The sequence below is a fragment of the Homo sapiens genome, chromosome 1 (assembly GCF_000001405.40).
Source record: "Homo sapiens chromosome 1, GRCh38.p14 Primary Assembly".
NCBI lineage: Eukaryota > Metazoa > Chordata > Mammalia > Primates > Hominidae > Homo > Homo sapiens.
In genome coordinates, this window is record NC_000001.11 from 117,110,815 (window position 1) to 117,127,619 (window position 16,805).

General features: G+C 45.4%; 1 protein-coding gene across 5 annotated transcripts, besides 2 other annotated features; it reads right to left on the minus strand.

Moving 5' to 3' along the window:
• On the minus strand, positions 246-13,113 carry TRIM45 (tripartite motif containing 45). 5 transcript variants are annotated; one of them, XR_007063980.1, is made up of 7 exons: positions 9,900-10,935; positions 7,274-7,953; positions 5,802-5,931; positions 4,761-4,875; positions 2,545-2,671; positions 1,281-1,639; positions 246-398 (listed from the first exon to the last, which is right to left on the minus strand). XR_007063980.1 is itself a non-coding variant. In XM_047430914.1 (7 exons), exons 2-7 carry the CDS (start codon positions 10,073-10,075, stop codon positions 1,491-1,493), a joined length of 1,431 nt encoding a protein of 476 aa, XP_047286870.1. In that variant the 5' UTR covers positions 10,076-10,087; positions 11,094-13,113; the 3' UTR covers positions 246-1,490. The 5 variants fall into 5 exon arrangements, 3 of the variants coding, with proteins under 3 accessions (XP_047286870.1, NP_001139107.1, NP_079464.2); XR_246297.2 differs by having other exon boundaries at positions 7,220-7,953; XM_047430914.1 differs by adding an exon at positions 11,094-13,113 and having other exon boundaries at positions 246-1,639; positions 7,220-7,953; positions 9,900-10,087.
• Positions 10,700-10,889: a silencer, noted in NCBI's record as "silent region_1237". NCBI's record gives its function as "represses an Ori minimal core promoter by ATAC-STARR-seq in GM12878 lymphoblastoid cells {active_cell/tissue: GM12878}" and the evidence as "EXISTENCE:reporter gene assay evidence [ECO:0000049][PMID:35858748]".
• Positions 11,200-11,369: an enhancer, noted in NCBI's record as "active region_1580". NCBI's record gives its function as "activates an Ori minimal core promoter by ATAC-STARR-seq in GM12878 lymphoblastoid cells {active_cell/tissue: GM12878}" and the evidence as "EXISTENCE:reporter gene assay evidence [ECO:0000049][PMID:35858748]".

Here is a 16,805-nt window from a genome sequence, read left to right on the forward strand (position 1 = left end):
TTGGGAAGATCAGATTTGGGTTACAGAAAGAGGCTGAAGGGAATGTTTCCAGAAAAGGGTGAGAACGCAGAGAACATCTTAGTATTTATGGCTATAATGTAGCCCATGTCTGTCAGCCTCAAGGAGGAAATGTATTCCACAATGATCTGACAGTCATCATCTAATCATTCACTTCCTTTACCTGACCCAATTCGCCAAGTGAGTCATCCACTTCTTAAGGGATCTTACAATGCAGATTTCAATAATTATATTTAATACATGCTGAGTTTATTGCCATATAAGAAATCAAGAGTTTCAGAAGAACACACAAAATATATACAGTGAAGACCTTGGCAGGGCTGAGGCACCAGTGCTGTGTACATCCTCTCCCCAAATTCTCCAGCAGCTAAGAAGGCACACTATGAGTGAAGGCACAGTAAGAGTCAAAGCTCCCAGTTAACTTTCTAGGTATATAGATAACAGTGAAGACTACTCTAAAGACTACTCTACTAAAAAACAGAGCTGTGAGAAGGATGAAGGTGTCTAGATTTTCTGTATAAGTAGAACTGTAATAAATGTATGAGGTTCTATTTCAACACCATTCCCCTTTATTAACTTTCTATTTGTATGCCCTTGACCAAAGAGTAATCTTCCAGGCTTTGGGGCAGAAGGCTGTCATGGCATAGAGACGGAGTAGGGGGACACCACCAAAACAAGATCACATTATCATGATCACAAAACATGTACCAGTAAATCCAATGAAAGTATGCTAACAAAAAGTGGACAGGATGAAAGGAGGTTTCTAATCTCTAGGGGAAATATCTAAATAATGTGTAGCTCAGAGAAAAATGAAAAAGGTCATAATAGGCCAGGTGTGGTGGCTCATGCTTGTAACCCCAGCACTTTGGGAGGCCGAGGCAGGTGGATCACGAGGTCAGGAGTTTGAGACCAGCCTGGCCAACATGGTGAAACCCCGTCTCTACTAAAAACACAAAAATTAGCTGGGTGTGGGGGAAGGTGGGGGGGAACCTGTAATCCCAGCTACTCGGGACACCAAGGCACGAGAATCATTTGAACCGGGAGGCAGAGGTTGCAGTGAGCCGAGATCATGCCACTGCACTCCAGCCTGGGTGACAGAGTGAGACTCTGTCTTTAAAAAAAAAAAAAAAAGAAAAAAAAAGGGTTATATCAGAAAGGAACTAAACTACCTAGACCCTTCAGTGCCAATGGAATAGATACCTCCATACTGTACAAAATGAAAAGGAGTATCCTGTGGTAGAAAAAGAACGTTGCCAACCTACCTTTAAGAGAAATGTAGAGGTGGTTTTTTGTGCTCAACCATCCACAAGTACAATCAGTGAATAACTAACAAAAGAGCACTTGAACTCCAGTGCAAGATAAGGCACTTTGTTTTTAATTCTATCAGTCTCTTTAGAATGAACGAAGGTCTGGGTCCTCTGGAAATCTCAAGTGGTGCTGCCTGCAGCTTTAAAAGGCTGAGCACAAACCCATCAGAGAGCCACAGTCCTAAGTAGACTCCTCGGTGCGCTCTGCCCACCTGTCCATGTGCATTCAGATTTCTCATTAAATTTTCCACAGCATGACCAGTGGGGATGACCTGGGTGGCCTTTGTGTCCATGGCCACAGCCTAGGTACCCACCTACATGGGACAAAGAGGAAAGGACAAAAATCAACCATTAGCGTGGAGGCCAGCAGTTACCATTATCATGGAAATTAGACCTCCTGGCAACATGCAGATTCATGGGAGTGAAAATATCTAAGAAAATCTTGGCAAGAGGAACAAGCTGTCTGACTGTTGTGCAGTCAGGAGGACCCTGAGAATTGATCACAGCAAATCAACTCATGTTAGCCGGAGTTCTAAGAATGCTGTAGTGATAGAACTTACCACCTGAAGGAGGCGAACTAGTTTGCACATTAACTGTAAAATAAATTGGTTTGGATTTTAACTGTAAAATCATTGAAATAAAAAAGGATAGGTTGGTGGACATTAAAAAAATAGAGGTAGATCCTCAAGTGTTTATACAGAAGGATGCAAAAGCCCATTTTATGGCCCATTATTAGAGTAAGGACACAATAATTTTTTTTTAAAGTAATTAGATCCCTAACCTAAACTGACTCCCTATCCTTTCTGTCCCCCGAAAGACCCAGACCTTGTTCAATTGGTTTAATCATCCACTCCCCTAGCCATGCCTCATTTGGAATTTATTTAAGGTTCTAAAAGGAATAAGATGGGTCCATAGTTTTCACACTGCTTAGGCCGCTGGAAAGGGACAGACAAACTGAGAATCCTACATAGAAGCACAGGGCTCATAGGAGCTGTACCAAAACTAACAGAACTGAGAGCTTTTAAGTCTGCTATTTCAATTCAGAACAAGGAAGCTTTAAGTGACACTTTTAGAACAGTGGTGTCTCTACAATCACAGACTGTGCTTCCTAGAAACAGAGCCTAAGTCCAAATGTCTAGTGGCTGTGTGGTAGGGAAGGGCCCGTCGCTTGATTCCCACTGCTGGCAGAAAGGCCCAGAGGGTAGTGCTTTCTCCTTACCTGGCATGGTGCCTCCACAGGCGCAGCGAGCGGTTTTCTGGCCCCCGCTGGAGCAGAAGGTGCAGCAGTGAAACACGCCTGAGTGTGGGCGGTGCTTTCTCCTCACCATCACAGTGAATGGCGAGCCCTGCAGTGTTCAGACCAAAAGCAATGAACAGCATCTTACGAGTTAACAGGATGTGCTGCGCATCACTATGTGCTAAACAGAGTCTGAGGCACAGGGCCTGTCCTTGGATGGACAAGGACAACAGGAAAGAAACAGATTAGAGGACAAGAACCCTGCTCAGCTGAGAGGAGGCAGACACAGATGCAGTGGAAGCATCACAGGGTCTATGCAGCCCTCCTACCATGCTTTTCACCGCAGATGCTAAGTACTAGACGTAGGTACTGATTTATTCCATGTAGCTGAACCTGCTGGACACTGAAAGGAGTCACACAGTCAGCTCCATTTTCAGTGACATCTGTATTAGCTGGGAATAATTGTTCTGGCAAGATGGCAGCAAAAGCAGAAGCCCATGCCACAATAAGCTTAAGCTTTTCTTGATGGATTCTGCCTCACTCTATCCTTGTATGAAGTATAAGTACCTAGATCATTCAATACATTAGTAATCTCAGACTGACTTTTCTCTGGGATTCTCAATCTCAATTCTTAAGGAACCTCAGGTATAATAAGTAGAATGTCACAACCACAAAGATAGGACATTCTGTGGTCCCTTCTCCAATTTCTCAGCCATGTACCTCTTCTCACATACCAAGCTAGCCTCTTTCCTTCCATCCTGGACATGACTTATCTGTTTACTCACCCACTTATTCTGGGACTGTAAAGACATATGGAAGGGAGAAAGGTTAAAATGTGTACAGCTAATAATTCTCAAATTAGTAACTCTCCCATCTGCCCCCTTTCCTTTAAGGATAACTTTCGTTCTCTAATTTATATCCCATGTTAAACAAAAAATATTTATTTATTTTTTTAAAGATGGGATCTCACTCTGTCACCAGGCGGGAGTGCACTGGCACATCCATAGCTCACTGCAGCCTTGAGCTCCTGGGCTCAGGCAATCCTCCCAAGTAGCTGGGACTACAGGTGCACACCATCATGCCCAATTTAAATATTTAATAAGTTGCAATGTGCCTATCCTTATGTGAGAGCCACATTGTTTGCGAAAACGCAAAACAGAGAACCTAGCACCTTAGAAGTCTTTCAGATGTTAAATTTCCCATCTTAAAGAGTTTACAATCCAGTTAAAAAACAACTTGGCATTCAAAGAAATGGGTTCAAATTCCTATTTTGCTACATTTGCTGTGTATTTTAATGCAAGTTTGGTGTCTCAGTCTAATTGGACACTGATCCCTGTGCCTGAAGGGTTTTGAGGCAAATTGAAATAATGTATGTAAAAACACCTAACCTGTTCCTGACATACCATAATTAGGTAAACAATAAATGGCTATTAAATATGAATGTTCCTTAGTGCACAAATCATAAGCCTAATATATCATGATGCTATATGGTATTTTACTGTCCCTGTCAGTGTTGATTTCTGTGGAGGGAAACCTCTGACTACTCCAATGTCAGCAGAGAGATTCTGCTCGACCTGTTAGTATCACCCAATTTTTAAAAACTCATACTCTCTAAAGCAGAAAGTGCTCTACTTGTGTTATACTTGTTTGTAGAAACCATGGTAACGTAACTTGTTTGGTATATTTGTTTGTTTATAGGAACCATAGTAACAGAAAAACCTATATGTAAAACAGAGTAGAAAATTACATGAGCAGATGGTTAGGCAGATAGATGACTAGTCAATTGTGAGGAGGGGGCATAACCCTCTCAACTGTGTTCATGTCCAGACACAGTCTGGACAAAACTGGAAAATCCTGAGCTAGATTATATTTTTTGAATATGCATGGTTGTCTGCTGGCAGATCACCCCCTGTGATCAAGACATCTTCTCCATATTAAGAATCCTAAGAAACCAACTGGGAGAATGATAAGCTATAAGCATAACTGCCTGGAGGTGACACAGGGATACAGGGTTCTTATGGTCAACAGCATCCTCCAGGAAGAATAAGAGTAGCAAAATCTGGGCTGTTTCTAAAGTGAAGAAGAAGACATGGGGATTCTATTCAATCTCTCTGTATAGCTGATCCTATGTGAAATGTCTCCAGATCCTAAGACAGTAGAATCCAGGGAGCTCAGGGAAGCACGTGCACCAGTCTTACCTGCACATGCTGTTCTTTGATGCAGACCCACACAGTATAGACGCCAGGTTCCTTGGGGGTGTAGGAAATGTAGTATGTCCCATCCTTGTTATCCTGGACCATTGTTCTGACTGGGCTGAATGGAGATAAGAGTCAAAACACCACTCACTTCCACAAGCTGGCTTCAGTTGCTACTATTTCAGAATGTAAACTCTACACCATCCCATTCAGTATTAATGTTAAATATACCCAAACAGGATGCTTCTTCCATTTGCTTCAGAAGTTAATTTTACAACAGAAGGTAAACAGCATAAATTCCAATTTAGTCTGATATTCAGACAAATTCCTTGAATATATTATTGTGTCCTTTTCAACAGGCTTCTGTTGAACCCTCTTGCTCTGTTGTCCCTCCTCCATTCTACAATTCCAGAGAAATATAAACATGCTCCAGGCATAATTTAGTACCAAAGGGAGACTGAATTTTGAAAAGGGTACCATTCAGTCTAACACAGAATATTTTTCAACTTATTCTAAAGCTTGAGATGAAAACAATCTGAGGGGCAGACCATAGCTTTGAGAGAGAATTGAATACAAAACCCACACAAGAAAACACATTTGGTCACGTAACGTTTCATAGTATTATGGGGAGGTAAGACGTAACTAGTGAGTTACACTCCAATATCTTTTTTTTTTTTTTGGACCTGGGGTCTTGCTCTGTTGCCCAGGCTGGAGTGCACTGGCACAATCACAGCTCACTGCAACCTCGACCTCCTGGGCTCAAGGGATCCTCCCATCTCAGCCTCCTGAATAGCTGGGATTATAGGCATATGCCTCCACTCCCGGCTAATTTTTTTTTTTTTAATTTTGTAGAGACAGGGTGTCCCTATGTTGCCCAGGCTGGTCTTGAACTCTTGGGCTTAAGCGATCCTCCTGCCTCCACTTCCCAAAGTGCTGGGATTACAGGCATGAGCCACTGTGCCCAGCTCCAATATCTTAAAGGACCTCATGTTTCCAGTTTTCTCACTGCCTGTTATCCATGACACCTAATTGTGTCATACAAACCTGTCTTTCTTATCTTTAGGGACAACGGCAACTTGAACGTTGTCTCCTCCCCTGCCCATGATTTCTCCTGCGGCATCCTTACAAAGCAGGGTGAAAGAGGCCGTCTGTTTCTCCCGGGCTCTGTGGAGGTCTGAAAAAGATAAACACTCGGTCCTCACCTCGAATGTAAACTGCAGTGACTACATCTCCATCTTGCTTTTTCTCTTCAGAACAAAGGGTTGTACTTTACTGTAACCACCCTGGGTCCCTTTGTTTTCTCTTCCCCTTCTGCCTCCCAGAGTACGCCTCTTGGGAGTCCTTCCTGGTTGGCCTGGTTCTCTCAGCTAGCAGCTGCTTTGGATCACACAGGATCCTGGACCTTACCTTCAGTCCTAGGACTGAAGGTCCTATGCTTTAAAAATACTCACGACTGACCGAGGTATTTAAAGAAAACCTCTAGACCCTGTGAGAGAGGATAGTAACCCCAAAACCACCCTCCCTAAGCTCCAGATCCTGCTGGGCTAGGCAGGGAGTACAGCTGACCAGCCTCACGACCCTCCATGTTTTGAGATCCTCTGCAACTTGGTAGCTCATGCCAAGGTACTGGGGGGATATCCAGTAGCTACAGCCCCTACTCCAGCATTCAGATGAAACAGGGTTTCTTAACCTGAGGTTCATGAACTACTATGAGGTCTATGGAAAGGCTTATGAAGAGTCTAAAAATCTGGAATTGTATGCACAAGTTACTGGGTGTTTCTGTAGGAGAGAACATTCTCAAAGAGATCTATGGCTTCCAAACAGTTAAGAATGCCTGTGTCATTAAGATGCAATCTTCCTATCAGGACTGACCTACTGACCTGTGAAACATATGTTTTAATAATATGCTTCCATTAGAAAGGGAACACTCGTTAAAAAAAACCATTTTTTCCCCCAATTAAATGAAACACCTACCATATCCTTTTAAATGCCAGTAAAGTTGATGTGAACCAAAAAGGGCCTAAAGGAAAGGAAACCGTAATCTCATCTTCCTCATTCCTCTGAAACTCCCTTCAGAACTTGATCTAGGAATCCAGGGCCTGCCATGCTCCTCTCTGAGCAGGCAGAATTTCACCTGGCCCTAGTCACTGCTGTTACCTCCAACGGGCACTGTCTCTGTTCTGCCATCTGATAGAAACAAAACATGATCTGTGTGTTTCTCAGCCATTATTACTTCTCTGAACTGGAAAAGGGTCAAGCCTCACTCCTGTATTAACTGTACCCTAGCCAGAACAAACCAGAAAGGGCAAAGGTGGGGGTCACTGTCTTTCAGATCAGTTTATCTCCCCACCTTTGGTAACCTGGTCAGTAGGGCATGCTTCCTAGCAGAACAAGCCACCAATCTTCACACACCACCTCCCTGTCCACTGCCCTCTCAATGTCAATGGGAAATGCCTTCCTACCTTCTCCTTGTAGGACACATTTGGCTGGATCAACCTCTTTGGTATTAATCGTACCATAAATTTCATAGCCACGGCACTGGCCTGCTTTCTCCTGAGGACAGAAGCGTATCTTATCATTTACTCCAGGACGGGTGCTATATTGAACTTTGTTCAGCTTCCTGAGCCGTTCTACCACCACCCTCTTGGTGATGAGGATCTCCAAGTCTGAGCCGCTGGTCAGCAAGTGCTCGGTGAACTCCACTCCAGTCCGCATGTCTGCCAGTAACTGTTCCAGCTGGGCCTTCTGCAGCTGCAGGGAATTTTCCTTCTGGGCCCGTATGTCTTCCAGCTGCTTCAGCAGCTTGTCCCGATGCTCCTCAATGGCCTTAATGTAGCCCTCCGAGAATGTCCGGACATCAGCTGCCACTGCCTCCACTCGCTTCTGGAGGGCACTGTTTATTATGTGGATCTGAGCCAGGGCTTCCTCCAGGGCCTCCACGTGGGGCTGAGTACCTTTGAGGAGCTCCCACACAGAGTCCCCATGCTTGTGGATGACATTGCTGGTGAAGTCACAGGGGTGTTCCCGATGCTCCCCCACCACACAATCCTGGCACACGGGCCGGTCACAGAACTCACAGAACAGCCTCAGTTCCTCTGCAGGGTGAACAGGACACAGGATGGGCTTCCCAATCCGGCTGTAGCCTTTCAAGTCTTTTAGGTCCACCATGGTGTGGTAAGTCGTTTTCTTCTGCCGCCTAGGGGCAAACAGAATCAGTAACAGGAAATAAGGGGATAATTCTGTTGGGAATAGTTGGGCAGAGAGATTTTAGGAGCACAGGATCTGAAGTTAAACAAACCTGATTTCAATTCCTTGCTCTAATCTCTAATTGCATGAACCTCTCTGATTCCAGTTTCTCATCTGTACAGTGGGGACAATACCTACCTGAAAGAGCTGTTGTATAGAATAACGTGTGAACAGACTAGGGCTCTGGCTGGCTACATGCCTATGCAGAAGGTTGCAAGACTATGACTGCATGCTAGAACTTTCCCAAAGAGTTTAGACAAGAGTCACAGTCGGCTTCCTAAGGTAAGCTAGCAGTGAGGGCATGGCAGAAAACCAGCATCAAGAAACAGAAACCATGCCAGATAACACAGCAATAAAGTCCAAGCAATTAAAAAGCAGACACCAAGTCTCATCTAGCTTGCATCTAAGATTTTGGTGAAGCATTTCTGTTGACCTGTATCACCCAAATCAGCAGGCTAGAATTTTTTTCAAGAGACATCGTCAACATCATTAGAAAGCGTGAAACCGGCCGGGCGCGGTGGCTCACGCCTGTAACCCCAGCATTTTGGGAGGCTGAGGTGGGCGGATCAACTGAGGTCAGGAGTTTGAGACCAGCCTGGCCAACATGGTGAAACCCTGTCTCTACTAAAAATACAAAAAATTAGCCAGGCGTGGTGGCATGTGCCTGTAATCCCAGCTACTGGGGAGGCTGAGGCAGGAGAATCGCTTGAACCTAGGAGGTGGAGGTTGCAGTGAGTGGAGATTGTGTTATTGCACTCCAGCCTGGGCGACTAGAGCCAGACTCCATCTCAGAAAAAAAAAAAAAGAGAAAAGAAAGTGTGAAACCAATGGTTAGTAGAATCAAAGCTCTCTTTCTAATTCCTTTCCTATAGTAGCCCTCTAGAGATGTAGGGAAATCCTTAGGAAAACATGGTGACTGTTCAGAGTTCCTCCATTAGCATTGTATCAATTTGAAGCTTATATGCCTATTCTGGCACCAGAAGAGTGGCTGCAGAGAAAATAGGGTTAGCTGGTTTGGCTGGCAGCAAGACAGTCGCAGGGACTATCACATAATTACAAGTTAAAAATAGAGTGAAGTCTACAAACTTGTTCTGTTAGTGTAGCCAGAAAACAAATGGAAGTAGAACCCGAAACCTATTTTAGGCTAATCCTAAAACTGTGGTCATTTTATATTCTGGTGTCCTAGGATGGGGTAAGGTAAGAGTACGAAGGGACAAAAGTGATCCATCTGACAAACTATTCACCAAATGCCATAAAACACATAGTCTGCACCCCAATTAACACCTACCAGCCCACCTCACCAAGCTCCAGAGTAACTCTAAGGTACACAAAGCAAAAGCTGAGGTCCGGCCAATCATCATCACCTATTCTAGGAGCACAGCATGGGTTACTGGAATGTAGTCAAAATGATCTGGATTTAATACTCAGTTCTGTTACACACTTACCAACTGTAGGACCTTGGCAAATCACATAATATTGCTGAGCTTGTTTCCCCAATTAATAAATGGGGGCGAAAACAGGGCCTGCTTTTCTGTAAGAGTTGCAAGATCGAAGGAGATCAAGAACAGGATCTATGCTGTTATATTCATTCTCCTGTTTCTCCAGCACCCAGTACAATTATTCACTACACGAATGACTGAAGGAAACTGTAGCTGCACTTTGTAAATTGAAAGGGTTTATTGCTATTGCTATATTAGGCTATATATTAGGTACTATATTAGGCTAACCGGGTTAACTGTTGTACTGGAGTATTTGCTATTGCATTGTTATATTGCTCTTTGACCTTCCACGGTATTTGAGAAGGCTTTCCTTTTCATCTGCTCACCGAGGGATTTGTCTTGACACCTCTTTGTAATCTGCTCTTAAGCTACACCTGATGGAGTGTCCCATCTTTACCTATGAGCCTGGCAGCAGAAGTGGCAGAGGTTGGCTTTGCAGGTCTGACACCTCTTCTCTACTTCCCTGTCGTTGCACAGGTCACACACCAGGCCCTGGCCTTCCCCACGTAGGCTCTCCAGCATCACATCATTCACGGCCAGGTGGTCTATGGTTAAAGCCTTCACTCCACCCATGGGCAGGTCCACCTGAGCATCACATACAGGACAAAGGATGCCGATCTGCGACTGCAGACTTCGTGGCTTGAGTTCCTGGAATATTGACCCCTCAGAGCTTGTGTCAGAGTCTCCCCCTCGGATGTCCACTACTGAGAAGGGCTCCAGCTGCTCCAGACACGTGGTGCAAACTGTATGCAAACAAGGCAAGAGCCTGGGGGCTTTGAAAAGCCCCAAGCACAGGGGGCAGTGAGTCTTGCCTGAGTTCCCAAGTGCAGTCCCACTAGTGAGTTTGCTTACAAAGCCCAGCAGCGGTTTTCTGTTTTCTGACATACTCCTCACGTTTGTGACCAATATTAGAAAGGGCCCTGGGCAGTTCTACGATTTAGTAGCAGGTGATTAAGCCCACCCAAAGAGAAAGTCTCCAGAACTTGAACAGAGACCATGGGGACTCCCTCGCTGACAAATAAAAGGGCAGACGGGAAGACGAGGCGTCCTCGAAGGAATCACCCACAGATCTACTCAGGAGGGCCCCCTCCTTTCCACTGCATCCCACACCAGACACGCCCACGCCCTCCTCTGCCCCGCAAGTCCTCCCCGGATGCGCTTCCAGGTCTAGCTCTCCAGCTAGTCCTGCTGCCAACAAAGTCACCCCTGCACCTCTCGCTCCCTCCACTGCCACCCCCCTCCCGCCGCCCGCCCCACTGCGCGCCACACGCGACAAGCGCCGACCCCACCCGCGCACGATGAGGTAGGGGCCCTCTTGCTCCTTCCCTCTGCGAAAGGCGCGCGCCGGGTGAGGGAATTGCAAGCCGCCGGCGGGCTTCTCGGTGTCCACCGCCTCTCCCGCGCCTCGGCCCGGGACGCCCGCGGGCTCTGGCCCCTCCTCACACCAATCCCAGCCCGGTCTACTCCGGCGAGTCCAATCACCGTCCGAGAGCGGCGGCCCTCGCCGCTCCGGGCCCCGCCGCCCTCCAGAGTGACGCCACTAAGCATCCAATAAGTTTTGGAAATTCCACATCTTCGCCAGTCCACTCACGCGGGGGGCGGGACCTGACAAGGCCGTGGGCGGGGCGGCCGAAGGGCTTAGAGTGCGGCGGGAGGAAAAGGCCAAGGCTCGGAGCGAGCGGCATAGTGTAGTCAGCGTCACCGTTTCACAGGGACTGTCCCTCTCTCTGTGGTGACCAGAGAGGCCTCAGGACCTCTTAAAAAGCCACGCTGATTTGGCGCCGGGACGGCCTTCTTTCTGCCCTCGGACTCGTCCCACGAACGCAGACTGGGTTCTCCCATTGGTGGATGGCACTGTCAGTTGGCTCTGCGCTGGGAGTGGGAGACGTTTTTCGGGCTCCCGAGGTCTCGGCCGCTCGGGGGCGCCAGACGTTTCTCCTCCACGCGGGTTTGAGGCTGCGAGGCTCCCCTCTGTCCTCAGGCGCTTACTGTAGCTCACAGGTCCCTCAGGCCTAGCGTGCTGGGTACAAGCACTCCCGCGGCTCCCCGACTTTGGGTATTTTTCGGGGGTGAGGGCATCTCAGGCTCGCGTTACGGGGACCGGTTCGGGAGACCGTGGAGCCGAGGTGTCGAATGGAGGGCTTACTTCGGCCGGGCCAGGGAGCGCCACCCTCCTTGTCGGGCTCGGGAAGGCTTTGTTTTCCGGTCCGGGGGGAGTGCAGATGACCTAAGGAGTTGAATGTCACCCGGGATTCCACAGTCCTGTGTAACAGAAACGAGCTGAGCGAGTTGGACCCGCTGTTTTTATCAGTCAATCACGGAGGGCTCCTGCCTGGTCACAGTGAGACAATGGACGGTGGCAATGAGGGACAAGCCCTTTGTGGGCTTAAAACTAATTGGGAAGATGAACACGTCCGACCCCTTTAACTTTATAATTACACGGCCACCTTCTCTGGCCTTACCAGGCGTCTCCTGATTCTCCAAAATTCCAAAAATGGAAACAGCTGCTCCTTTCCCCTCCACCTGTTGTTATCTCCAGTTGCGTCAGCTTGTCTACTGGGCCCTCACTGCTTTCTTTGTTCATGACCTTCCCTACTTAATTTGTACCCAGTGGGCGACTGTTTCACTTGATTCCTTCATTATCTGTTTCATGCTATAGGCATAGTGTCTGGAGCCTAAGCTTTTAAAAGTATGGAATCTGAAAAAAAGTTAACCCCAAAATATGAAAAAAAAAAAAAAAACCATTATAAAATATAAAAATGAAATGTTTGGCCATTTCCAAAATATAACACGCCAATGAGTCAAATGCCACCTTTATATAAAATGTGCAAGTAATTTCCAAATGTTAAGCATATCTCCAAAGATTTTTAAATAGTCCTTACCTAGATTTTTTTCAGCCTCTTGTCCTTCTTGCATCTACTCTCAAAATCGGCATTCGCCTCTCCAGTAGGCTGGAGGAAGTCACAAAAACTGTGTGGACTTGGGTTTGCTATATATTCTTGCTTTGAACTTCACCTTTACCCTCCCTGCTGCTTGGCTGTGCTTTACTTCATCTCTTGTTCATACTGTATCACATTTCTTGTGGTAGTAGTTTCAAGCTTCTCTTGTTTCAGAAGTACTTCATAATTTACACGTGCAATATCTCATTTAGCAGTATCTCATTTAACCTTTAACAATATTGTAAGGAAATGGCCTCAAAGAGGTCTTGCCAGGTCTTGGATGGCCAGCCCAAGTTAACATATCTGGAACTTGAACACAACCTTATGATGCCATATCTAAGATTATATTCGGGCTACCTCTACCTTTCCCTTTTTTTTTTTTTCTTTTTTTGAGATTGAGTTTTGCTCTTGTTGCCTAGGCCGGAATGCAATGGCAGGATCTCGGCACACTGCAACCTCCACCTCCAGGGTTCAAGCGATTCTCCTGCCTCAGCCTCCCAGGTAGCTGGAATTACAGGCATGCACCACCACACCTGGCTAATTTTTTGTATTTTTAGTAGAGACTGGATTTCACCATGTTGGGCAGGCTCCTCTCGAACTCCTGACCTCAGGTGATCCACCCGCCTCGGCCTCCCAAAGCGCTGGGATTACAGGCGTGAGCCACCGCGCCTGGCCACCTCTACCTTTCCTTTCTCAGTTTATTAAGCATCAAATCCCTCACACATGCTGCAGCTAATTCCCTTCCATTGATGAGAAAAACAAGGTTGTCTGAAGAACTGCCTCGCCTTTCTACTTAAAAAATCCATGATTCCTCACACCTCCTCTCTTACCTCTCCTGACTGCCATTCTTTAGTGCCAAGATTAGTTCCTCAAGATTTTTGTTTTTTATCCCAACCTCTCCTGCTTCCTCAAAACCTTATTCCTATGTTTCAGTCAGTTTTTCTGCCAAGAGTTCTGATGAAGTCCTGAAAGGGGAAGCAAATCGTCTTTTGATCTAGCTCCCCTTCAACGTATTAATAGTGGTGGTTCTCGCCCCTATATTTCTCAAAAGGGTGGTCTCACTGTCTGCTTTCATCATCTTTTTATAACCATCACCACCGATTTATTCCTCCCCTCTTTCCTATTGAGACTTTCTTGTAGATCATGAGTGACCATATTGCTGGCCTTTTCTCAATAGGCAATCTCTTTAGTATTTACCATTTTTTGTACTTCCTCATCCTTAAAACTTGCCTCCTCCTTGACTTCTGAAATACTCTACTCTCCTAACCTTCTGTCTCTTGGGCTGCTTCTCACACCCTCCATCCTCACTAGTTCCCCTTCCTCCACTTTATCTCCTACCTTTGCGTCTACATTTCCTCACGTGGATGATTCCCAGACCAACGCTTCCAGTACTGATGTCTCCCCTGAGCTTTTGACATAGATTTCTAAATCTGCACTCAAATATGTTCCTATCACCAAGTCCCACATAGCTTAAACTTCACTGAACTTCTTTGCTCACTGAACTGCACTCTCTGAATTTTCCTATTTGATTCTCTCCAGAGTATCATCATTCTCCTTTCCCTCCTGCATGAAACCTTATAGTGCTGCTGGCCTCCTTTCTCTTGTTCCATATCCAGGCAGACACCGATTTCTTTCCATCCCCACTGCCAACACCTCACTGCATACACTTTTTAAGATGCTATAGCTCTTTATCACCCTCACCTTAAGTATTACAATAGTGTCTGAATTATCCCTGCCCTTTATTTTTTTTGATCTACACAGTTCTTCCAAATTAATTGTAAAAACATATAAAAACATGATACAAGTCAGTCTTCATTCTAAAACTTTCAGTAGCTCCCCATTTTTGTAGGATAATATCTGCATTCTTCAATAGATTCATAAAACTGCTTGTTTAGTTATTCCCTAAACATTGCCAAGCACGTTTCTTGGTGTTTGCCAAGTTGTCGGCAACATTCTCCTTCCTTTATTATTTAAACCTACCCTTCCTTCTATGAAAGCCCTACTTCACACTACCCCCTTGAAGCTTTCTCTTATTTCAGGGCTCCAGATTCAAGCCTAATGCTGTTTTGCCTATATTATTCACTTTGCAGTTTGTGCTACCTTGTGGTATTGTTTTTATTTATTATGTGTGTATATATATGCATGTGTATATATTTACATATGTGTATATATTTACACACTATATATATCACATACATACATGTATACTCTCTCTGTTAAGATGGAAAATCTTGGCAACCTAGACAGTAGTCATTTAATAAAGACCTGTTATTGATGAAGGAGAGAATGGTGATCTCAAGTAATGGGAGGACAAACAGGACCACCTTCAACCAAGAGTTTTATGGATAGTGCAGACCATAAGTGATATGGGGTGACATCACAGGACGAGAGAGGATTTGTTAAGGATGCTCCTTTCTCAGAATTAGTTCGGTGTCTTCTTCCATGCTCACACATTGCTTCATCTGTCTGGGGAAGCAATAGTCATGGGATGAGAGGAACAGGACTGATGAAAGTGACCAGCGTTCATGAAAGTGTCTACAAGACTTTCAGCCCACACCTGTTTGCCCAAGACAGGGAAGATATTGAAGGCAAGAAAGCCAGGAAGGGAGAATGACCCATCAGGAAATCAGGCAAGGCTGGTTTGGGCACTATGCTTGATCATTACCATCAGACATTGAGTGGATATATGGAAAGGGACCAGAGAGTTCTGTCAGACTTATCTTTCACCATTCCATCTGTCTCTGTCACCATCCTTCCTTCTTTCCTTCAAAGGAAGGAGACTCCTTTCTCCTGGGACCTGTGCTCTGAAGTTCAGCCCTGCCTGCCTCCTCTCTCTTCTGTCTTTATCTTCTTTCTGGTGGATCTTTCTTTCCGCTCATGTCCATGCTTCAGTCTCTCCTTCTACCCTATGCCCCTCTCTAGCTCCCAATCCCTCTCTACTTCTTTATAGCCAAGCTGCTTGACAAGAATAGTCTACATTTGCATCTCTTCTTCCCTTGCATTTTACTCCTAAACACAGCGCAATCTGGCATTTGCTCTCACCATTCCTCTGAACTTGCCTTTGCCAAAGTTACCAATAATTTCATATTTGCTAAATCCATTGGATACTTTTCAGTTTTTAACTAACTGAATTCACTATAGCTTTTAACACTGACAGTTTTTTGTTTCAGTTTGTTTTTCTTGTTTGAGACAGGGTCTCACTCTATTGCCCAGGCTGCAGTGCAGTGGTGTGATCACAGCTCACTGCAGCCTCAATCTCCTGGACTCAAGCGATCCTCCCACCTTAGCTTCCCAAGTAGCTGGGATTATATGTGTGTGCCACTATGCCCAGCTAATATTTTTATTTTTGTAGCAATGAGGTCTCACCATGTTGCCCAGGCTAGTCTTGAACTCCTGGGCTCAAGTGATCCTCCAGCCTTAGCCTTCCAAAGTGCTCGGATTATAGGCATTAGCCACTGCGCCTGGTCTGACACTGACAACTTTCTTCTTGAAACTTTCTTCTTCCTCAGTTACCATATGCTATTCTTGATTTTTCTTCTACCTCCTGCCGCTCTGACCACTTCTCTTTTTCTCTACAGGACACTGCTTCACTATGTTGGTCAGGGTGGTCTTGAACTCCCAACCTCTGGTGATCCACCTGCCTTGGCCTCCCAAAGTGCTGGGATTACAGGCATGAGCCACTACGCTGGTGGCTTCTTCTTCCTCTTCCTCGTCTTCCTCCTCCTCCTCCTCCTCCTCTTCTTCTTCTTCTTCTTCTTCTTCTTCTTCTTCTTCTTCTTTTCTTCTTTCTTCTTCTTCTTCTTCTTTTTTAACCTTTTCATCCTCCCTTGATTGATGTGGGATTTGGAGGTGATTTATAAACCATGAGCCCACTTGTTACATGGGGGCTCTTTTTACTATATTATTACCTCCATCATCTCTGAATTCACTCCCTGTTTTCAATTCATTCTCTATAATCCTGTTAGGGATCTTTTTGCAATTCCAGTTTGATCATGCTCTTTGGTAGCTCTTCCATGCCTATGTTTACTCATTTAATATCCTTTGAGTACCTGGAATATGATTTTCCCAAATGTCTTCACAACTTACTCCCTACTAAAATAATAAGTTCCTTGACAGCAAGGACTTTTGACTATGTGCCAGGCACCAGAGATGTATTGTTAAAACAAGCAAAAATTCCTGCTCTCGTGGAACTTACCTTCTAGTAGGGGAAAGCAGCCAATAAACAATAAATATGCTGGGCACGGTGGCTCATGCCTGTAATCCCAGAACTTTGGGAGACTGAGGTGGGCGAATCACTTGAGATCACTGGCCAACATGGCGAAACTCCGTCTCTACTAAAAATACAAAAATTAGCTGGGCATGGT